We start from the raw sequence: 19,010 nt of genomic DNA on the forward strand, positions 1-19,010 counted from the left end.
CCATGACCACCTTAGATCATATCAAACCCACTCTCCTCTGCCCACTTTTTTTGGCTCTATTTGCAAGAAGCTTATCAAGAGAAGATGCCAATAAATATGATGTTATCAGGAAAGCAATACATAGAGTTAGAAGCAGAAGAAATGTTCTATAGATGTTCTGAGAAGGTGAATTCCTGCTTCTTGCTGGAGGAGTCAGGGAGGGCAACCTGGAAGAAGGGACTTGGAGGATAGGGAGAGTTCATACAAGCAAATATGGAGAAGAAAGACCTTTCAGAGAGGAGGGTGGCACCAAGCACAACTGACTGTGGAAGTCCCAGGATCTTGACCAGGATGGAGTGGTTTAGGTCCCTCTTCGCAGAGAACACAGGACTCAACGCCCCTCCACCATGCCCCCAAATACCCCAATATACTAAGTCATTCTCTACTTGTTTCTTCCTGTCTCATCCAGTGTCTCCAATCCTTCCAGAAGTCAAACATCTCCACAGACCACCTCTACTAGTCCTTCCTTTCTTCTCTCTGTCTTCACTTTTTTCTACTGACCCCCTTCCCACCTTCCCAACGTCACACAGAACTGTGAAGCGGCTTCCTGCTCCTCTTCCCCAACCTGGCCATGGATCAACCCCTGGTGTGCAGAGCTGCGTGCTGGCTCCTCCAGGTAAATTGCCCAGGTCGCTCGCACTCCCAAAGCTGTCATGCAAGTCACTGGTGTCTCCTGCTTCCAATTCCCCACCCTCTCACATCTCGTCCTTCCCAGTCTCTAGGCAGCCTTTCTCCCTCGATCACTCCTTCCTGACACTCTTACCTCTCTTCTCTTTGCAGGCTGGTCACCTATTTACTGGCTCCTAGCATTCTCCTCTCTCCTTTATTGGCCTCCTCCCCAACTAAATTCCTCTCTTAAATATAGTTCTTTTCCCATTGTCAACTGCCTGATCTTCTCATCCACTTCCATGGTTTTGACTGCTAAATTTTCTTAGGAAATTGTTCGAGTCACCTTTGTACTTCTGACTCATTTCTGTAGATCCAGACTCATGTTCACTCTTGTCCCCAAAGTATCTACATATATATCCTGCAAAAACTGTGGCAGAGTAAGGATGTCTGCACACTTGTCTCCATCCCATGCATTGAAGCCTATTTTCCTTCCCCTGAGCATAGGCTGGCCTGTGACCACTCTGCCCAATAAAGTATGAAGAAGTGAGCTGTGCCAATTCTAGACCTATCCTTTACAGGGGCTGGCAGCACCTGCTGAGCCCTCCTGGAAGCCAGCCACTGTGGAAGCAGTGCAGCCACCTTACTGAGTGAAGCCCAGCCAAGGACCTTGGTGTGCGAGCCTGGAAGCAGCCTTGGGCAGCCAGTCACCCCAGCCTTCCTCCAGCCACAGCTCCAGTGGCTGTCTCATTGCAGCATGAGGGAGCCCAAGCAAACACTGCCCAGCTAAGTACAGACAACACGCAGAACAGAGACAGATGATGATCTCCTGTCATTTTAAGGCACTAGGTTGTAGTGAGGTTTGTTTCATGATAGATACCCAGATCAGACATCTAAAACTCAAATATTCAAGACTGAATTTATCTTAGCTTTCTCACCAAAAAGAAATGTTCTTCCTCCTATGATCCCAAACTCTTTTAATAGCATTTATCACAGTCATTGGTCTTGAGGAAGCCTTGAAAATGTTCTCATCTCTTCTGTCAGCTGCCACACTGAATTGTCCTAGTAATTGTCTCCCTAAAACATCCTTGAGAAGCTGCGTCTTTTCTGTTCTAACCAATACTGGTTTCATTGTCAACACAGGCCCTCTTCACTTTCCTCATCTAATCCAATCTATTCCAAAAAGAATTTCTTGTTTTAACTCTAATACAAGGGACGTATCACAACAGAGCATGTGTGAAATGATTATTTTTTTCAAAGTGCCAACATTAGTTTTTGTAGTCTAACTCCAGCCTTGTTTCTTCTGAGTTCCTAATCTCATTCAGTCTTTCCATTTGGTATTGCCTGAATGTTTTCAGATATTTTGTTACCTCTATGGCTTTGCAAATGCTGTTTCCTTTGTATGAGTCTTTTCCTATTTGCTGAGTTCCTACAAAAATGCAAACTCCTTTGTTAAAGCTTTCTCCTTTTCTCTTAGTCAGAATTGGTTACTCATCAAGTTCTCAGCAATTTGTTTATACTTACTTTGAAGCCCTAACTGTGCCTTGTATTGTTGAACCTTTAGTGCTCAAAGTCACACATTCTGGAAAACCTCTTAGTTTTAAGCAAACTAGGACAGTTTATCACCCTAACTATAACTTCTTGGCTACAAATACTATAGCTTGTTTCTGCAATTCCTCTATGTGCCCTGAACAAGTGGGGCTCATGTTATTATTATTTTGTATAATTATGTTTTCATAATTAGATAATTTTACCACTACTCTAGAACTGATCAAGACTCCCAAACAGTGTTTCTCAAAGTGAGTTGTGCAGCCTACCTATGCCAGACTCATCAGGGAGCTTATTAAAAATTCATATTCCAGAACTCCACCCAGTGCCTACTGAATCAGCATCTCTGAGTGTAGAACCAGAAATAAGTATTCTATGTTCCAAAAGTTAAAAGAATCATTGGCTTTTTGAAGTTTTTCAGGGTAAAAAAATTTTCTTCTTATCATTTACTATGAGATATATATCTGTATGTGTATCTGTGTCATGCTACAAAATACTTTTTTTAGAGGCTCTGTTCTGTTGCTCTTATTGTTTCCAATGTTGGGATGGACTTTTGTGAAGCTGTTCACTGCTGTGATCAACAGCTGGTATTTGTAAGGAAACTGGCTGCAGTGAAGGTGGTACTTGTGTCTCCGTGTGTGGAGTCTGTAGTAGCTCAGCAGGAATGCTGATTCTCTGAACTATGAAATACAATTATTGTGTGTTCACCATGATGTGAACCTGACTGTTAAGAGGCAGCTGCTGCAACAGCTGCCAGGAGCCAAGAGTGGCCACTTTCAGCAGGATTGATCTTAACACAGGATGTCAAAGTCATTGGGAGGAGGGAGATGAGGGACTGAGGGTCTTTGCAGGGAGAGTGCTTGTCTCATTTAATATGTGAGTAAATGGTGCACTGCTTTGAGGTAGAGTCAGTCATATAATTCAGCCCTTACCGCTGATTTTTGTTTAAATGATCCAACTTGGCTGCTTACACAGGTTAAATTAATTTAATCATTGTAATTCTATCATATAAATGGCAACTATGTAAATCAAGTGTCTATGAATAAGACAAAAATAGATATAAGGGAATGATTTGGATAATACAGGCCAAGGAATCTGCTAGGGCTATATTTGAACCAGAATTATGTAGATTAAGAGTCTATACTGGTTAAATTCTCCTGCAAACCATATTTAATTTTACTCATTGAAGTTCAGAACTATTTGGGCCTATGATATCAAGGTTGGATGGGTTTTTCCATTCATAACTGGCCACATGAAGGCTTGCTTGTGACTACTAGTTCCTCTGTAATTAAGAAGACATGAAACGGAATTTGCCAGTGTTCTAAGTTCTTGTCTCAAGTGATTCCATGATGTCTGCCACTTCAGGAAGCCACCAGAGGAGCAGCTTCCTGGCTAGATGGCCAAAGTGTTGAAAACTTGCTAGAAAGGCTTCACTCTGTTGGTCACAATAACACACACCCTAAAAGAGCAAGAAAGGTCAAGAGCTCCTTCTTCCAAGGACCACTTCTGCCACTGATAGGCTGAACCAGTGCCTTCATCTGAGCAGCGAAGGGGCGTAAATGAGCAGGGACACACTCCTCAGACCTTCTGCCTCTGGCTCTGCCTACTCATTTGTAGAGGCACTAGTGCACAGCGGTTAAAGAGGAAGGCTGCTTCACATCTCAGCTCCATCACTCACAGCACAGTATGTCTGTTCCCTCATTTCTTTCTTTTTTTTTTTTTTTTGTTGTTGTTTTGAGATGGAGTTTTGCTCTGTCTGTCACCCAGGCTAGAGTGCAGTGGTGTGATCCCGGCTCACTACAGCCTCCACCTCCCGGGTTCAAGCAATTCTCCTGCCTCAGCCTCCTGAGTAGCTTGGATTACAGGTGCGCACCACCACGCCCGGCTAATTTTTGTATTTCCAGTAGAGACAGGGTTTCACCATGTTGGCCAGGCTGGTCTCAAACTCCTGACCTCAAGTGATCCCCTCTCTTTGGCCTCCCAAAGTGCTGAGATTGCAGGCATGAGCCACTGTCCCCGGCCTGTTTCCTCATTCCTTAAATGAGAACTATACTATAATCCTCACAGGGTTTTGACAATTGAAGGAAATGATGTACATATGAAGATTGACACTTAATAATCCCTGAATGAATGGTGACTAGTTGCTGTAATAATATGACTATTATTGCATATGCTTATATACAATTATCAGCAATGAAATGATTAGAGTTAATGGTCTTTACCACCTGGTTCTTCTAGGCAAATATCTTCCTTGCTGGTTGTGTGGAAGTGATGGGTTGAGGAAGGAAGACTAGATCTCCATTTCTGGCTTATGTTTTATGATTTATAATTTCAGAGCTTGCTTTTTTTTCTTCTGTCACAATGCCATTAATTGATGATAAATTTTCCTCTAAATAAGCACAACATATTAGCCACCAGCTGTCTTGCCCAAGGTTGTAACTAGATCTGTATTATAAAACATGATAAAATTCCAAAGGATTTTTAAGAATTTAAACTGCAACCTGAATAAATAACAGGTATTCTAAAGCCATAATTATACAAATTGGTGTTCATCTTAATTAAATTCAAGCTTTCAAAAAAGATTTTCTGAGTTTTTAAAATCACAAAGTAATTAGCAATACATCTGAAAACATAAACAAGTTAGAATATTATATAAAGCCTTAAAAAGAGACAAAAATAAAATAGGAATATAAATTAATAATGAAAATTTCATAGTTTATGGTACCAGGTAGATACAGATTTGATTCTTAGATTTGCTATCTACCAGCTTGTTACTTTGGGTGAGCTGCTCACAAAATCTCTCTGAAGCTTAAAGTCTTATGTATAAAACTGATATGGTAATACTTATCTGCCAAGGGTCATTTTTAGCATTAAATGAGATAATGGATTTTAAAAATCTAGGAGAGTAAACCTAGCATGTGAGTGAGCTCAGCAATGCCTAGTTCTCTACCTCTTTACCTACCAGATAGGAAAATATGCTACAAAATAACTATTATTTAAGAGGACAATAAAGAAACAGAAATATGAATAGATATTAAAGAAAATAAAAACAAGCCTGGAAAGCTCGAAAATTATACAAAATAATATCTAATGAATTTAAAAATGTAACAGTTAAAGAAGGACCTATTTAATTAATAATGCCAAAAGGAGACATATGATCACAGTTTACAATATATATCCAAATGAAGGCCAGTTAAAGAACTAAGCAGGAAAGAAAAATCAAATATAGGAAGATTAGCATAAAATAAGATACTTGTGGCTTTGAAGGTTAAAAGTTACAAAATAATTTGCAAGTGAAAATATTTTGCTATAACTTTAAAATTTTATTTAAGTAAATAATATGTAACTAAAAAGTAAAGCATCAAACAAGGAAATATTTGTGTCTAATACTTAGGAAAATAATAAATGTCAATATTTACAGATGCTGTGATTATGTAACCCACTCCTAATCACTCCTAATCAGTCGTAATAGAGATATTAAAAGTGATCATATAATATGAATAAAATTAAGATAAAAGTATAAACTTAGGTCAACCTTCTACATAACTCCAATACCAAAATAGAAAATATTTTAGGAATAATATTGAATCCTCAATAGTAGCAACAAGTAAAAGATATAAAATATATAATCTTTTTTTTACAAAGTATGGTTGCAAATAAGTAGTATGAATATGAAGACCACTAAAACACTTCATTGAGAGAGTTTAGGTTTGAATAAATGAGTTACAATGCTATGTTTTTGGATGGCCCATCTCAGAATTGCAAATCTGTCAGGTTTTTCAGAAGTATTTATAGATTTGATGCAGTCCCAGTCAAAACACCTTCTCATTAAAAAAAAATTGATAGGTATAATCTTGGCAAAAGTTTTCTAAATCAACAAGCATCATAAAGGTTACAGTGAATCAGACATTCTGCTACATTGCCACTGGCATGGTGAATCAGTACTTCCCTTGTGAAGGAAAATTTGTCAGGGAAGAGTACTCACAAGCCTTTAGATTGTGCAGCCCATATGTCCCTGAAATCATACTTCTGAGAAGAAATTCCAAGGATATCATAGCGAGTCATGAATTGCAATACTTACCATGGAGTTTTTCATACACCTGGAAATACACAGATGACCAAAAGGAAAGTTACCTAGTGAATGTGTTAAAGCATACAGTGAACATCAAGCAGCTTCTAGAATCATCTTCTCAAAGAATGTTTGGAGACATTAGAAAGGATTCAGTACATGACATCACGTGAAAAAACATAGGATACAAAACTTTAAAGTGAAAAAATATATAGCATACAGAACTTTAAATCAGTCTGAGCCATGTGCATAGAAAAATAAAAGAAAAAAAGAAAATGTACAGCAGTCAATGTAAGTTATGATTTTTAATTTTTTATTGTTTTGCTTGTTTATAACTTTTGTACAATGATAATGTATTACTTTGTTATAAGCAGAAAAAGAAAATTTAAATTTTTTCCAATTAAAAAATGGTAAACAGTTGTCTCATGAGAGAGAAAATAAATTAGCAAACACATAAAATATTTCAACAAATAAAGAGAAGCAAAGTAAAATAATGGTGTATAATTATAGAGTTCAGGACAAAATCTTAAAAATATCTACACATGTACATATATGTACCCAAAGTACTGTTGTGAAAATGGTCGGTACTCAGAAATTGCTAGTAGCATTGAAATTAGGAACTTTGTATTTTATTATATCTTATTTCCTGGAGGCTGGGTGGAGAACATGACCATCAAGTTAGTCTTGTTTTTCTAAGCAAATAGGTGTGATCTTGATGAATTCATATTGATTAAATAAATCAAACACATACAAGCAAATAAAATATCATGCAATCATTTTTCCTGTCAATGAGATGACTCACACAACCCCCAATTCCAAGGGAGATGAAAGTGAGGAGCAATGCATTGTCATTGGGAGTATCAAGGGAAATCGGACACAGGAAGATTTATAAATGAGAATTATGTTTTACTTAATGCAACTGCTTCACAACAGACTCTGAGAGAGCATTTTTGCATGAATTCAGAATCCTATAGGTATAAAACATACCTAATATAGGTGAAACAGTGCTTGAATTAAAGCAAATAGTAAAATCCAGGAGTTGTGATTTCTTATTCCATGAAGCTGACAAATATGAAGCTGTAGAGAAAATTTTAAAGATGAAATTAAGTTAAGCAATTTTATTATCTTCACAGACAAACATTTTAATGAAGTTAAATAATGCAGTGAAATACTTCAAATTTTAAAATGTAAAGGTATCAAGCACTGTGCAGTGAAGGGCTCTGTTATGAGTCAATGTTTTTCTTGCTTCATTTTGATGGCTTCTGTTACAGACACACCCTGAGGAGCCTGTTCGTCAGCCTTGTATATAATCTTTTATCTTTAGTTTTTCTGATTAAACAAATCCATATGCTATGAAGGCAATTTTCTAACTTCTAGCGTTGTAAATAGTTAATTTGAAAAATCCTACATTTAGGGATTAAGCTGTAGAATCACAACCACTAAATAGAAAAAAAAAGTTTAGAATTTAAAACCTCACTCTATTTCAAACTACCTGAAAATATTATAAGGGTTGTGAAGATAGGAATTGTGTCCTGAACTTTGGGTGTCATTGCAGCACCTAGCATTGTGTTTAGCATGTACTTAGAGTTAAATGTTTAGGGATAGAAAGTTACGTTTTGGTTTATGTATAGTGCAAAACACTTCTGAGGATAATACCACTGCTAAGAATATACATGAAGTTTAATGTAATTTGGTGAACGTTTAAGAAAACAACTCCAGACTGCCTATGTAGCAATGGTCAGAAAAGATTAAAAAACAGCCCTTGGACCATCCTTCATTATGTATTTGTGATGATAATATTAATTTATTTAAAATGATATTTAATGACAAATTATGTCTGGGAAGTTTGATGAACAAATTCCAGGCAATGGCTTACTTCTGTCCTTTTATTTGTATATCTTGATAAATGAGATGTGAATTTTAAAAATCTTGCGTCAAATATTTCTAGTTACTTAATGCTGATAGCTAAGAAGATAACTTCTACTAATGAAGATAATTAATAAAGCATTCTAATTAAGAAAACTTGAAATAGCTAAATTAAGGAAAAGGGTAAGGCCACTGGCTCAAACTTGGAAAATATATGGGTAAAATCTTAAGACATTTTCCTTGTATTAAAACAGGTGAGTTTTCTGAAGCCATGTAATTTATGCTTTTGTAGGTCCTATTGACATTAGGTCCTCCAATAATTCCTTCCTCAAAGTCAGACATTAATGAACCATAAAAATTAGTTTTTTAGTTTTTTGTTTGTTTTTTTTTGTTTTTGAGACAGAGTCTCACTCTGTCACCCAGGCTGGAGTGCAGTGGCGTGATCTCGGCTCACTGCAAGCTCCACCTCCCGGGTTCAAACAGTTCTCTGCATCAGCCTCGCAAGTAGCTGGGACTACAGGCATGCACCACCACGCCCAGCTAATTTTTATGTTTTTAGTAGAAACAGGGTTTCACCATGTTGGCCAGGATGATCTTGATCTCTCGACCTCGTGATCTGTCTGCCTCGGCCTCCCAAAGTGCTGGGATTACAGGCGTGAGCCACCGCTCCCAGCCTTTAGTTTTTATATTTATAAATCATGGCTATATCTTTATTTTTCAATTTACATAAGAAGATATGTGGAAAATGAAATCACATATTTGGAGCCATGTTTCTTCCCTTCTTTCTTTTTCTTCTATTTTTTTCACTCTGAGTTCCTCAGTTGCCATTTCTTTAAAATTATGAGTTGTTTTTCCTGCTTTGATGAGAGATTTTTCTCTGACAGTATTGGTGATGGAGGTCTATAGAAACATTCAAAGAGGGCGTGGATAAGGAGAGGTATTCTTTATTTCACCAACTGATGAGCGATTTCTCAGATATTCAGCCAAACTGACCTCTGTTTCCTCAACTCACGAGTTATTCTTTTCTCTGCCCTTTTCAGTTAGTAGTCAATAATACTAGCTGTGATGCACTTCTGTTGGCTTCCTAATTCAGGGCAAGCTGTCCTGACTGAGCCGGGGAAGGGCTCTGGGTGCATGATCGCTGAAAGGACACCAGTGCACATGGATGCCATTTGTCTCCATTGCATTCCCCAACTTCAATACACTTTCTGAAACCCTTAGTCAAATTTAGCACCATTCATGATCAGGGCAACAAAACCACATGTGGAATTCCTAATATGGAATTTGTGATTATTCAAATAAATTTTGGATTAAAACTACCTATGCGTGATTAATAAAGAGAATGCTAACGAATAATGAAAGCAGACAGTCAGGAAGCATTTTTAAACTCTGTGACTAAATAGTTTCAAGCATTTTAGCAACACTTGTCTATATATCAGTAAATGTAGTGCTAATTATAAAGCATTCTTATTTATGCATTAAAGCAGTTATTAAATATATGTGGTATTAGAATTTCGTTCTTGGAAAGGTTTCTGTTTGTTTTTCCACCAATTTATATTGTTCTCCTTTGGATTTTGCCAAAGCCATTCATATCTCTATATATTTTTAATAAGCAGAATTAGGAAAGTATAAAGTTTTCAGATATGAGGAATTGCCAGATGAAATTATGATGCAAATATTTGTACCATCTTAGCTCTAGAGTCAAACAGAAACTGGATTTGAGTCTCACCTGTACTACCTACTAGTTGAATAAACTCCAATAAGTTACATAATCCCCTTCAGCTTCAGTTCCCTATCAGTAAAATGATTATGATTACCTCCTGGGATCACAGCCAGAGGTAAAGAAATCGTAAGTGTTCAAAATTATTAGCAGCTTCTATCATAACCATCATCCCATCTGCACAAAATCAGTTCTTGCTTGAATGGGTGTGCTACCATGAAAATGTGCTGTTTTCAGATGTGCAGTGTCCCCAGCAGGAGGAAGGCAGCATTGTGTGCATGCATCCACTCTTCAGTAGCTGCAGGAGGTAGAAAGGTCTGACAGCTGCAGAGCAGGGTTCTAAGCAACAAGAGAGAACAGTCTCTGGTGAATGGAGTGGCACCCATGCACCCTGTCCTGTAGACCTGCGTTCGTGGGCAACTGTACTCTCCCTCAGCTACGGTAAGAGCCCTCATAACTAGAACAGAGCTGTAAATCTGCTGACTAAAGGAAAGCAAGAAAGGGAATTTAAACAGCTGCTACCAGCATGCCAGGGCACACAAAATAGGCAATTTATGTATTAGGTCAAAGTGAAGCACATTTCTTTTAAAAAACAGATTTCTAGAAGAAATTGGCACCGGACATGTAAGCATTCTAATAAAAAGATATTCTTCTCAAAAAATTATGGGATAAAATCATTCTATTATTTGACCTTTCCCCTTAAACAGTGATTTAGTATGTGCAAACCTGAATAAAAATTGCATTAGAAGCTAGCTCAGTTTTTCTCACACAGCGATTTTCATTTCTGAAGCTGGCATCTGTAATAAAAGAGAAATATGTTGAAGGGCCGCGTCTACTCGAAGAGCTGTAATGGACACTCAGTTCTTCATAAGCTGGCCTTCTTCACAGACAGAGAAGTATTTGACTGTTGCTACTTTTACTATTGGAGGATTTCCATTTTTAGGTTTGTTGTTATGAGCCTCACTAATATTCACTTTTACAAAACAAAGATTCTGGAGTCAGACCATGCAGCCACAGTGGGGTGACGAGTGGGGGTAGAAAATGTTTTCTTTCTTTTTTCTTGCTCCTTTTGATTACATTAGATACCCAGACAAGAAGAGAAAGAAGAGAAAAGCTGATCAGGAATCACGCCTAATGCTGCAGAACGATGCCCTGAAAATGCTGAATGTGCCCCCTATCTAAGCCAACTAAACTTGTATTTACACAGGAAATTAATCCATCAGAAAATATTCAAAGCCAAGAGAAAGTGGATATTTGGAGAACTTATCAAATGTACATGGAATAAGTTGTTTACTTAGTTTTCTCCACTCAGCGCCTTGAATTAAATACCCACATCCTCTTCTGGGATCTTTCCTAGAGCCCAGAGCTCTGGTTCTCATTCTCTCCCTGTCACTAACTAATGATGGCACTTTGACCCATCAATGTAAACTTTCCTGGGCCCAGACTACCAAATTTGAATAAAAAGCTTGGAAAAGAGGTTTTTGAAAAGAAGAAGGAATGCTAAAATAATAGTGGAGCCAGGTATTAAATGAATATTTAAAAGAATTCAGAGGAACCTTTGTAAGCTGTAAAAGTCTATGCTATGAAAAGTTCAAAATATGTTATATCGTAAGAAATTTGGTACATTACAAAGAACAAAGAAGCTTTACATTTTATTAATGCGTTGAAAAACCAAGAGGCTGATAATGTTTTCATATCCAATATCAGTTCAGAGTTGGGGAAAAGTTAAGTTTTATATCAAGTATGAAGTATGTTATATGTGAACTATGGTATATGTGGTACATTTCCTCTGAAAAGATGAGTATACATTCAAATGATAGCTGCACATCTCAATTTAACAAATGTGGGGTATTGCAGAAAGGTTGCTTGCCTCAGGTGGTTTCCGAAAGCGGCAGATTTCTGCTCTGTGCTGATGGACCACATTGCTGTTTCTTCATATCTTTGTCTTTGCATGACTCCCTGCTAGGATGAGTTATTTCACTTTGCTGGGTTACATATTCCTGATCTGCATATTTGCCACACAGGATTGTTGTGAGGATTAACCAATATGATGGAGGCACAGTGCCTACTGCATGTTGCCTGGCACCTAGCAGGTCCCCAATAGGTTCAGCCGTTTTGGAGGGCAAGGTGTGGGCACGCGGAGGGATGCAGCACTGTTCAGCATGCCCACTGTCTCCCAGCCTGATGACTGCAGATGCAGGGAAAAAATGGTAGCACAGACGGAGGTCTAAACTAAAAAGGAAGGTGCTGAAAGGCAACTGAGCACTTCTACCTGGCAGACATATGAGAGGGGCATGAAAGGGCAAGAGGCACGAGAACAGGAGCTGGTGGCACTCAGGCAGTGACGCGGAAGCAGGCCCTGACCTCTCCAGGCAGTGGCCCTGTCTGGCTGGCAACAGGCAGTCCACTGGAGGGAGGGGCAGCCTCACACCATTTCCGCCAGACTGCGAGGCTGCCAAGGTCTCAACTACTATGTTTTGATTGTTTTTAATTTTGCTTTCTTTTTGTAATGAAATATATGGAATTTCTGTTATTCTCTGAAATCATACGATAGTGAAGTTAATATCTGGAAGGGTTTTTCCATATTTCTCCTTGGCTGGGCTTTCATTTGTCAACTCTCTTGAGAAATGCTTGCCTGATGCATCTCTGGGGAGGCAAGGCCCACACCACTCTTGCATGAGGAAGAGAAAAGGATGAGAAATGGAAGCCAAGTTTCTGCCCTGCTTAGACTTCTAAGACTTCTCAGACTCTTCCATTTACAAAATGGAGAAAACACCTCCTCTGCCTTACAAAGACGGGGGAATTACAGTCGCAAGAGCACTATGAAAATCTTCAAGCATAAAAACAAAGCAAATGAAAGGCATCATGATTAAATAGATGTCGAAGGACGTTATGAAATGGCATTCTGTGTCCAAGAGAAACCTCTAGGTCCCATTAGGCCTCTCTTCATCTAGACCTGCTGCCTGTAAATTTTCTTCACATAATTTAGATAATAGCATCTTCCTTTCTTCTTCACAGAGCATTTTATGTTGGGGGTAAAGTTTGAAAACTCTCGAGTCCTTGTACACATTGAAAGTAATTTTTAAACTTGCAAAAAATTTTACTCCTTGCTTTTAATGAGCTAATAGCATAATCAGTGAGGTGAGATACAAATATGATTAATTACACACAATGTAGGCCTGGTAAAGAACCTAGCAAAAGAAAATACTGCTGAAGTTCAGAGGAGAGAGAGATTACAACTAGCTATTAGGAACAGATAAATGGACAGGCAATTATCTGAGGGCAATAGTTGCTTAAATGTGTGACTGTATTAAGGGGAAAACATTATCCTGCTTGGCCTCAGCAGAGAGCAAAAGAAACCAAATAAAACAAAATAGGCAATCCTATCACAATGCAATACCTGGCATACTAATATGACAAGAATAAAACAATTCTACACAGTTATTATGCTCACTTTTGGAAACATGTGGAAATAGTATCTCATTTAATATCTCAAAAGTGAGTGGCAGCAGAGGAAATCAGAACTCAGCGGTCCTGACGGCAATCCTGGCTCTGCGTGTCTCACAAAAGAAAAGCATTTCTGTCTTTAAAATGAGCACAGAGTGGCTGAGGTTTACTTGTATAAAAGTTAATATTTCCATACAATAAACCATAACATGTTTGATAAGAAGTAATGGCATTATGTAATTAGTATAAATCTGAATGAAAATGACTATGATGATTATTTGTTAAAATTACACAGGACAAATTATAGCATTTTAGATCCTCAGATTTCATTTCTAAAAGTCTTTGGGCCTACAAAGATGAAGTACATATCTTTTCATTCAAGACATAAATAAAAAACAGAAAGGAGAGAAACACAATCAGTGATTTGATGACAATACAGATTTGCTTTAGAATTTACTATATAGGAAAAAATCTTTGTAATTTTCCTGGCGAAAATGAATTGTATTTAATTAAAAATATGCTAGTAAATGCATGTACTTAGAGTGGTTGAATGATTACAATCTGAAAACAAAAGTACTATGCTTCAATAGTATATTACATATCTGATGGAAGTTCAAAATGTTAGTAGCCTCAAAATATTCTTTACACTGCATAATTGGGTTTCTTTTTAGTTATAATACTCATGTAAATCATGCTTTAACTTGCACATGCTGGATATAGTATGATAGGAAATGCTGCATCAAAATGAAGCAGCTGTTTCCATAATATCTCAATGGGCTAATGGGGTCAGCCATGTCCTATGAAGGGTTGATTAATTAAGAAAGGGATGACATAAATTATGGTGCAGTTTCAACAAATTCGAGCCAATCTGCAATGCCCATGCTGAAAAGAAAACCAATATTTCACAAAATACATTTTAAATAGTGAATTATTTTACCACGTTGTATTTGCTTTCAGCATTTTAAAACTTGTATTCAATACCAGACATACTTTGTGTGAAATCAAGTACTATTGCCTATTTGGGGAAGCATTTAATAATTTATTTTTCTTTCTTTTTTTTTTCATTAAATGAATCCCTGTCAAAGAGTTTCTCTTCAAAAGATAATGAGAATACGTGTTTAATTTTGGAAAGCTCTGATGTTATTGGTTCTCCATAGATTGTGTACATTTTCCTTGCAAAATCTCTGTACTTAGAACTGCACGTGAACTGAGCTATCACTGTTGCATTTTTTGAAACTTGTCACCCAGCTTGAATAGAGGACCACTCTGCAGAGCCCCATCACTAACCTCTGGGTCTTCTCCAGTCACTAGGTTTCTGTGAGGAGATACTGTATACTGGTAAATATATAGCCCACCTACCAGTAAGGCAAATCAATGACAACACTAAAGTAACCTAGCAGAAATACAGTAATGTGAGTTTACTAAATGGCTACTTTGGAAGCCCCAAATATTTATTCTACATATAGTGACTTTTAGAGAACAAGGGGTTCTACCACAATTTTTATCATTGTCAGTGTGGACCCAAACATGATTTAGATGAAGTATTCAAAAGATTGCATTTCCCCACACTTACCCCCTTCGAACACATTTAATCTTTCTCCAGTTAAAAATGAAAGAAGGTAATGCTTTGATCCTCATCACATTTTTGTTCTTTACTAATAAAGTTATTCAATATGTCATTTGTAGCTAGAAGCTTATTGAATAAAATATATGAAGAAAAGAATGCAACACTACAATTTCTTCCCTGAGATAGTCTTAGAGCTCTTTCAGGAGTTTCCAATTCTTGATAGCACTAACTTTCTCCAAGATTTCGAGGATTAAAAAAAAAAAACACTATAAAAGTAAATGCCCAAATGCACCCACCCTAGAACAAGTTTGCCCCTCGTTGAGGAGCCTGCTGTTCTTAGGTTGTGTCATATCCCCTGTGGATTTATGCTCATGCAGTAGGAAAAAAAAAAAGATGTGTTTTTAGGTACCAGTATAGGAAGAACCAGATGACTTCAGGGAATGATCCTCAAGGAATTACTTGAGGGAAAAGTATCTGGATTTGCCCCTCTCAGTGTTCCCAGCCGTGGGGTGGCATTGTTTGAAAACAGACAAAACAAACAACACCAACTTCCTGGGACTGAAATCCTTTGTATGTGTTGTTGTTTGCAGTGCATGCCAAGACATTCATGAGCACCAGAGCCAAGCTGGCGAGCTAATTAAATATATATATGTATGTGTTTAAAACAACCTAATAAGGAGCGTTGGAAATCTTCAAGATGAGCGAATATCTTATAACTTCTTCCGCAGGTGCGAGGATAGCTACAAGCCATGGACTTTCTGTCCTGCTTCTTGTTTGTGGCTTTGTGAAGGGTGCTTTGCTTTAATCTAAAGTGCTGACTTTTTTCCAATATCACTTTCTCTTCTTAAAGCAAAGAGCAAATCGCCTGTAAAATCTACGGAGCGGACAGCAAAGTTGACCCTAAACTCCAAGCACCACCCTGCACCCACTGTACTCTAATTCACTACACAAGGAGCGCCTGCTTCCGGAAGCATAAATGAAGAGGCTATCACATGCTTTGTTGATCATATTTTCTTTGGCAAAACACTGATCTTTTATTTTAAGAGAATTAACGTGAAGTGATAGAACGTTTTCTAATAGCAAGATCTATTTTTTCCCTTTTCTTTCGGCGACTAAAATCATCTCACTGACTGCTCAAGGGTTGGCCTGAATGTCATCAGGATAGGGAATATTTACTATGGATACCACTAATTTCCTACTAAAGGACCCAGCATCTTCAGGAAGCAAACAGAGATCAAAAGGCTACAGAACAGAAGCTATCATCAGACAAAACCCCCTTTTTAGGGGAAGAACAAAACTATCAACACTGCAAGTCAACAAGGAGGACATTACTTTAAGGAATAACATGAGAAAGAAATTTTTTTATTTTCCCCTTTTTTTCTTGGATTTTTCTTCTTTTTCTTGATTACAGTTCTTGTTCAATGGTGGCAAGTGCTGGTTATGGCCAATCTCCGTCAATCCTAGGAGGTTTATAGAACTACATTTTGAGTGTTCTATATTTCAGTGTATTTTAATTCATTTTGCAATTCCTGTGTATGCAAACCTGATAAATTCTGTAAATTGCTTATAGTATGTGTGCTATAACTTCAAAGTAGATGTACTGCGACCCTCATGCAAGCTGATTTTTATCATTATATATATAAATATATACTTAAGAATATCTGTGTGTTGGGCCAATGACCAACTTTTTTTGACGAAGCATTTGTTTTTCGTTGATAATTCATACACTGCGTGAATTTTGTAATTCATTGTTTCACTTCCACAGGTTTGACAGCTGCAGATGGTCTCTATTGTCCTCTGCTTCATTCTGGAAAGTGCATATTCAAAATTGTATCAGTCTCTGATCGATGAATTAATTTTGTTATGTCTGTGCTAAGTTGGAATTTACTATGTTCCTTTATACATGGTGTTTATTGAGGTTTGAGAGTCTCTTGACTGTGAAGAATGTACACTGTCTGGTTTTGACAGCTATTTCTGTATTATTATCATTATAATCTTGTCAAATAGAAATGTTGCTTCTAGAAAATTTGCCTAGGAGGCGAATGTGGGGAAGGTGAAGCACTCACCATAATTCCCTAAATTCATGTTAGAACATTTCTTGCTATGGTTAAAAATGCTGCTTCCTTTGACCTTTATGAATTTCTGTACCTTTGTCATTCTGTTACCTTTGTCATTCTGTTATTTGCGCTAATTATATTTTAATGTCTCCTAATTAAAAATTAAAATTTGGTTGTTGGCTAAATACAATATGCAAAAGATGATGGCAGGTCCCCGACTAAAGAAGATTAATGTGTTCAGTTTTCACTGGTTAAGTGAATTATAATTTTAAATATTCCATTCTTATTTATGTCTTTATGATAATTCAGACTATTTTATTTTGAACCTGTTTTCTACTCTGGCAAAGAAAGATAGGCAGAACTATTAGTGTTCCATATACATTATGGAATAGATAAAGCTTGAGAGATAAATGACCTAAGTTTTCCTTCCAGAGAGACTCTTCCATTTTCTCTCATTACAAAACCAGAAGATCAGCTATGTGGGGCCATCAGCTCCCAGCCTAAGGTCCTATAACCCGAAGCTTGAAGGCAATCAGTACCTCTGCTTTTCAAAGGTAAATGCATTCATTTTCTTTGATTCAGTTATAAGCAAGTATATATTTTCATAATATTCTTGACATTACCTGAGAAATAATACTTCATGCTAAATCTTTTACTGCCACTTTTCTCATTCATTTGGTTTATCATTTCAGTTTAATGAGAAAAATTAATAAAGGTTTTGATTGCACTATTTTATTAACCTAGAAATGTATTTTCTTTCAAAGTTTAATACTTAAAAATGCATAAAATAATGGTAAGATAAACACCATCTATTAAATTTATCTGGGCCTTAAAGATTGCATACATTAAAGCATAAGTAAGTATACTGTTTCAAATTCAGTCAAGTTGGGAAAAATCTACATGTAATGTACTTTTACTCAAAATTTAGGTCATGAGATTGGTCATTTCTGAAGCAACACAGACTTGTACCTGTATCAGCAATGTTTACCATGCTCATAATCAAAGACGTATGCTAGTTTGGAATGAGCTACTAGGCTCATTGTATCAGTGTCCAAAATAATGAAGATTTATCTGTCACTGTGCCACCAAGAGTCCAACTCACTGGCTACTTTGAGAAAGAACATGGTGCACTATTTGCTTCACACTCAAGAAGTTAATATGGAACCTTAAAAATTGGAACGGAAACTAAAACAAATTAAGGAGATCTTTCAGAGATTTTAACCTTATATTTTGTCTCTGCGACTATAACTTTGTAAATAACCATAACTATGAATAGGAATAAAGATTTAAAAATAAGTTATCAGACATTCTCAACCTTGTTTCCAAGGTTATGTAATGTTTATCATAAGAGAAAATCCTAAAATATTAAAATTGCTTACTTGAATTTAAGTTGAATGCTTTTGTTCTTTCTTAAAGACTTATAAATTGCTTGCAATAAAATAATGCAAATGAAAACACATGAGGGTAAAATAATAAAATAAGATAAAAATTATTTAAAGCAGAAGCCGCTAGTCAGGGTTAGTAAATAAGCTTAGTGGAGTTCATGAACCCACTGGAATTCCATGTATATTTTTGCATATCTGTTTTATGGAGGTGGTCCTTCATACGGCCAATCAATTCATTGATTCTGAGTGATTTGATTATGATTTGCTTGCCTAAAAGAATAATGTTTAGATGATTTTGAGCATCTAAGAAAACCTGATAGTTATAATTTTGAACTGGTTTGCCTTAAAGTTCTTGAATATAATTTAGGAAGGTATGTTAAGACACACATATGTGTGGGTGTGTACAGGGGGAGTACAAAAAAAACCACATTTTTAAGTTCAGAAAAAAAATCATTGCAATTTGTTGTAAACAGCATGGACTAATGATACAGGATGATGTTGGTTGAATTTTCAGGACTAGCAATGTAACTTTGCAATGGATACGTAGATGCCATTCAAATAAGTGATTCTGTTATTTATCCTGTTTTTTTAAAGTAAAAATATTAAACATAACTTAGTTTGTATAAGAAAAAATAATTGCAGGAGGTAAATGTAACCTGTCTGAGATAACACACAAAACTCTGATGATTGTATTTTGGAGTTAAGA

The 19,010-nt window shown here is 36.8% G+C and overlaps 1 protein-coding gene and 1 long non-coding RNA gene across 7 annotated transcripts in view; both read left to right on the top strand.

Annotated features, from left to right (window-relative positions):
• The window catches only part of VSTM2A (V-set and transmembrane domain containing 2A), a 28,693-nt gene extending 11,044 nt beyond the window's left edge, over window positions 1-17,649 (top strand). For 2 of the 6 annotated variants that reach the window (NR_133927.2, NM_001301009.2), the window contains one exon: window positions 15,713-17,649. Coding sequence is in view for 5 of the 6 variants with exons in the window: in NM_001301009.2 (NP_001287938.1) it covers window positions 15,713-15,801 (89 nt within the window). In the remaining variant the exon portion in view is untranslated. Of the gene's footprint in view, window positions 1-448; window positions 9,628-10,930 lie in introns of those variants that run through there. The other 4 variants (XM_006715665.4, XM_006715666.4, NM_182546.4 and 1 more) reach the window with 4 other exon arrangements.
• Window positions 3,552-18,308, top strand: VSTM2A-OT1 (VSTM2A overlapping transcript 1). Its single transcript, NR_038994.1, has 4 exons — window positions 3,552-3,877; window positions 4,432-6,553; window positions 17,352-17,473; window positions 17,848-18,308. It is a non-coding gene; the product is annotated as a VSTM2A overlapping transcript 1 (long non-coding RNA).
• The last annotated feature ends 702 nt before the right edge of the window (window positions 18,309-19,010 follow it).

Source organism: Homo sapiens, chromosome 7 (assembly GCF_000001405.40).
Source record: "Homo sapiens chromosome 7, GRCh38.p14 Primary Assembly".
NCBI classification, from domain to species: Eukaryota; Metazoa; Chordata; class Mammalia; order Primates; family Hominidae; genus Homo; species Homo sapiens.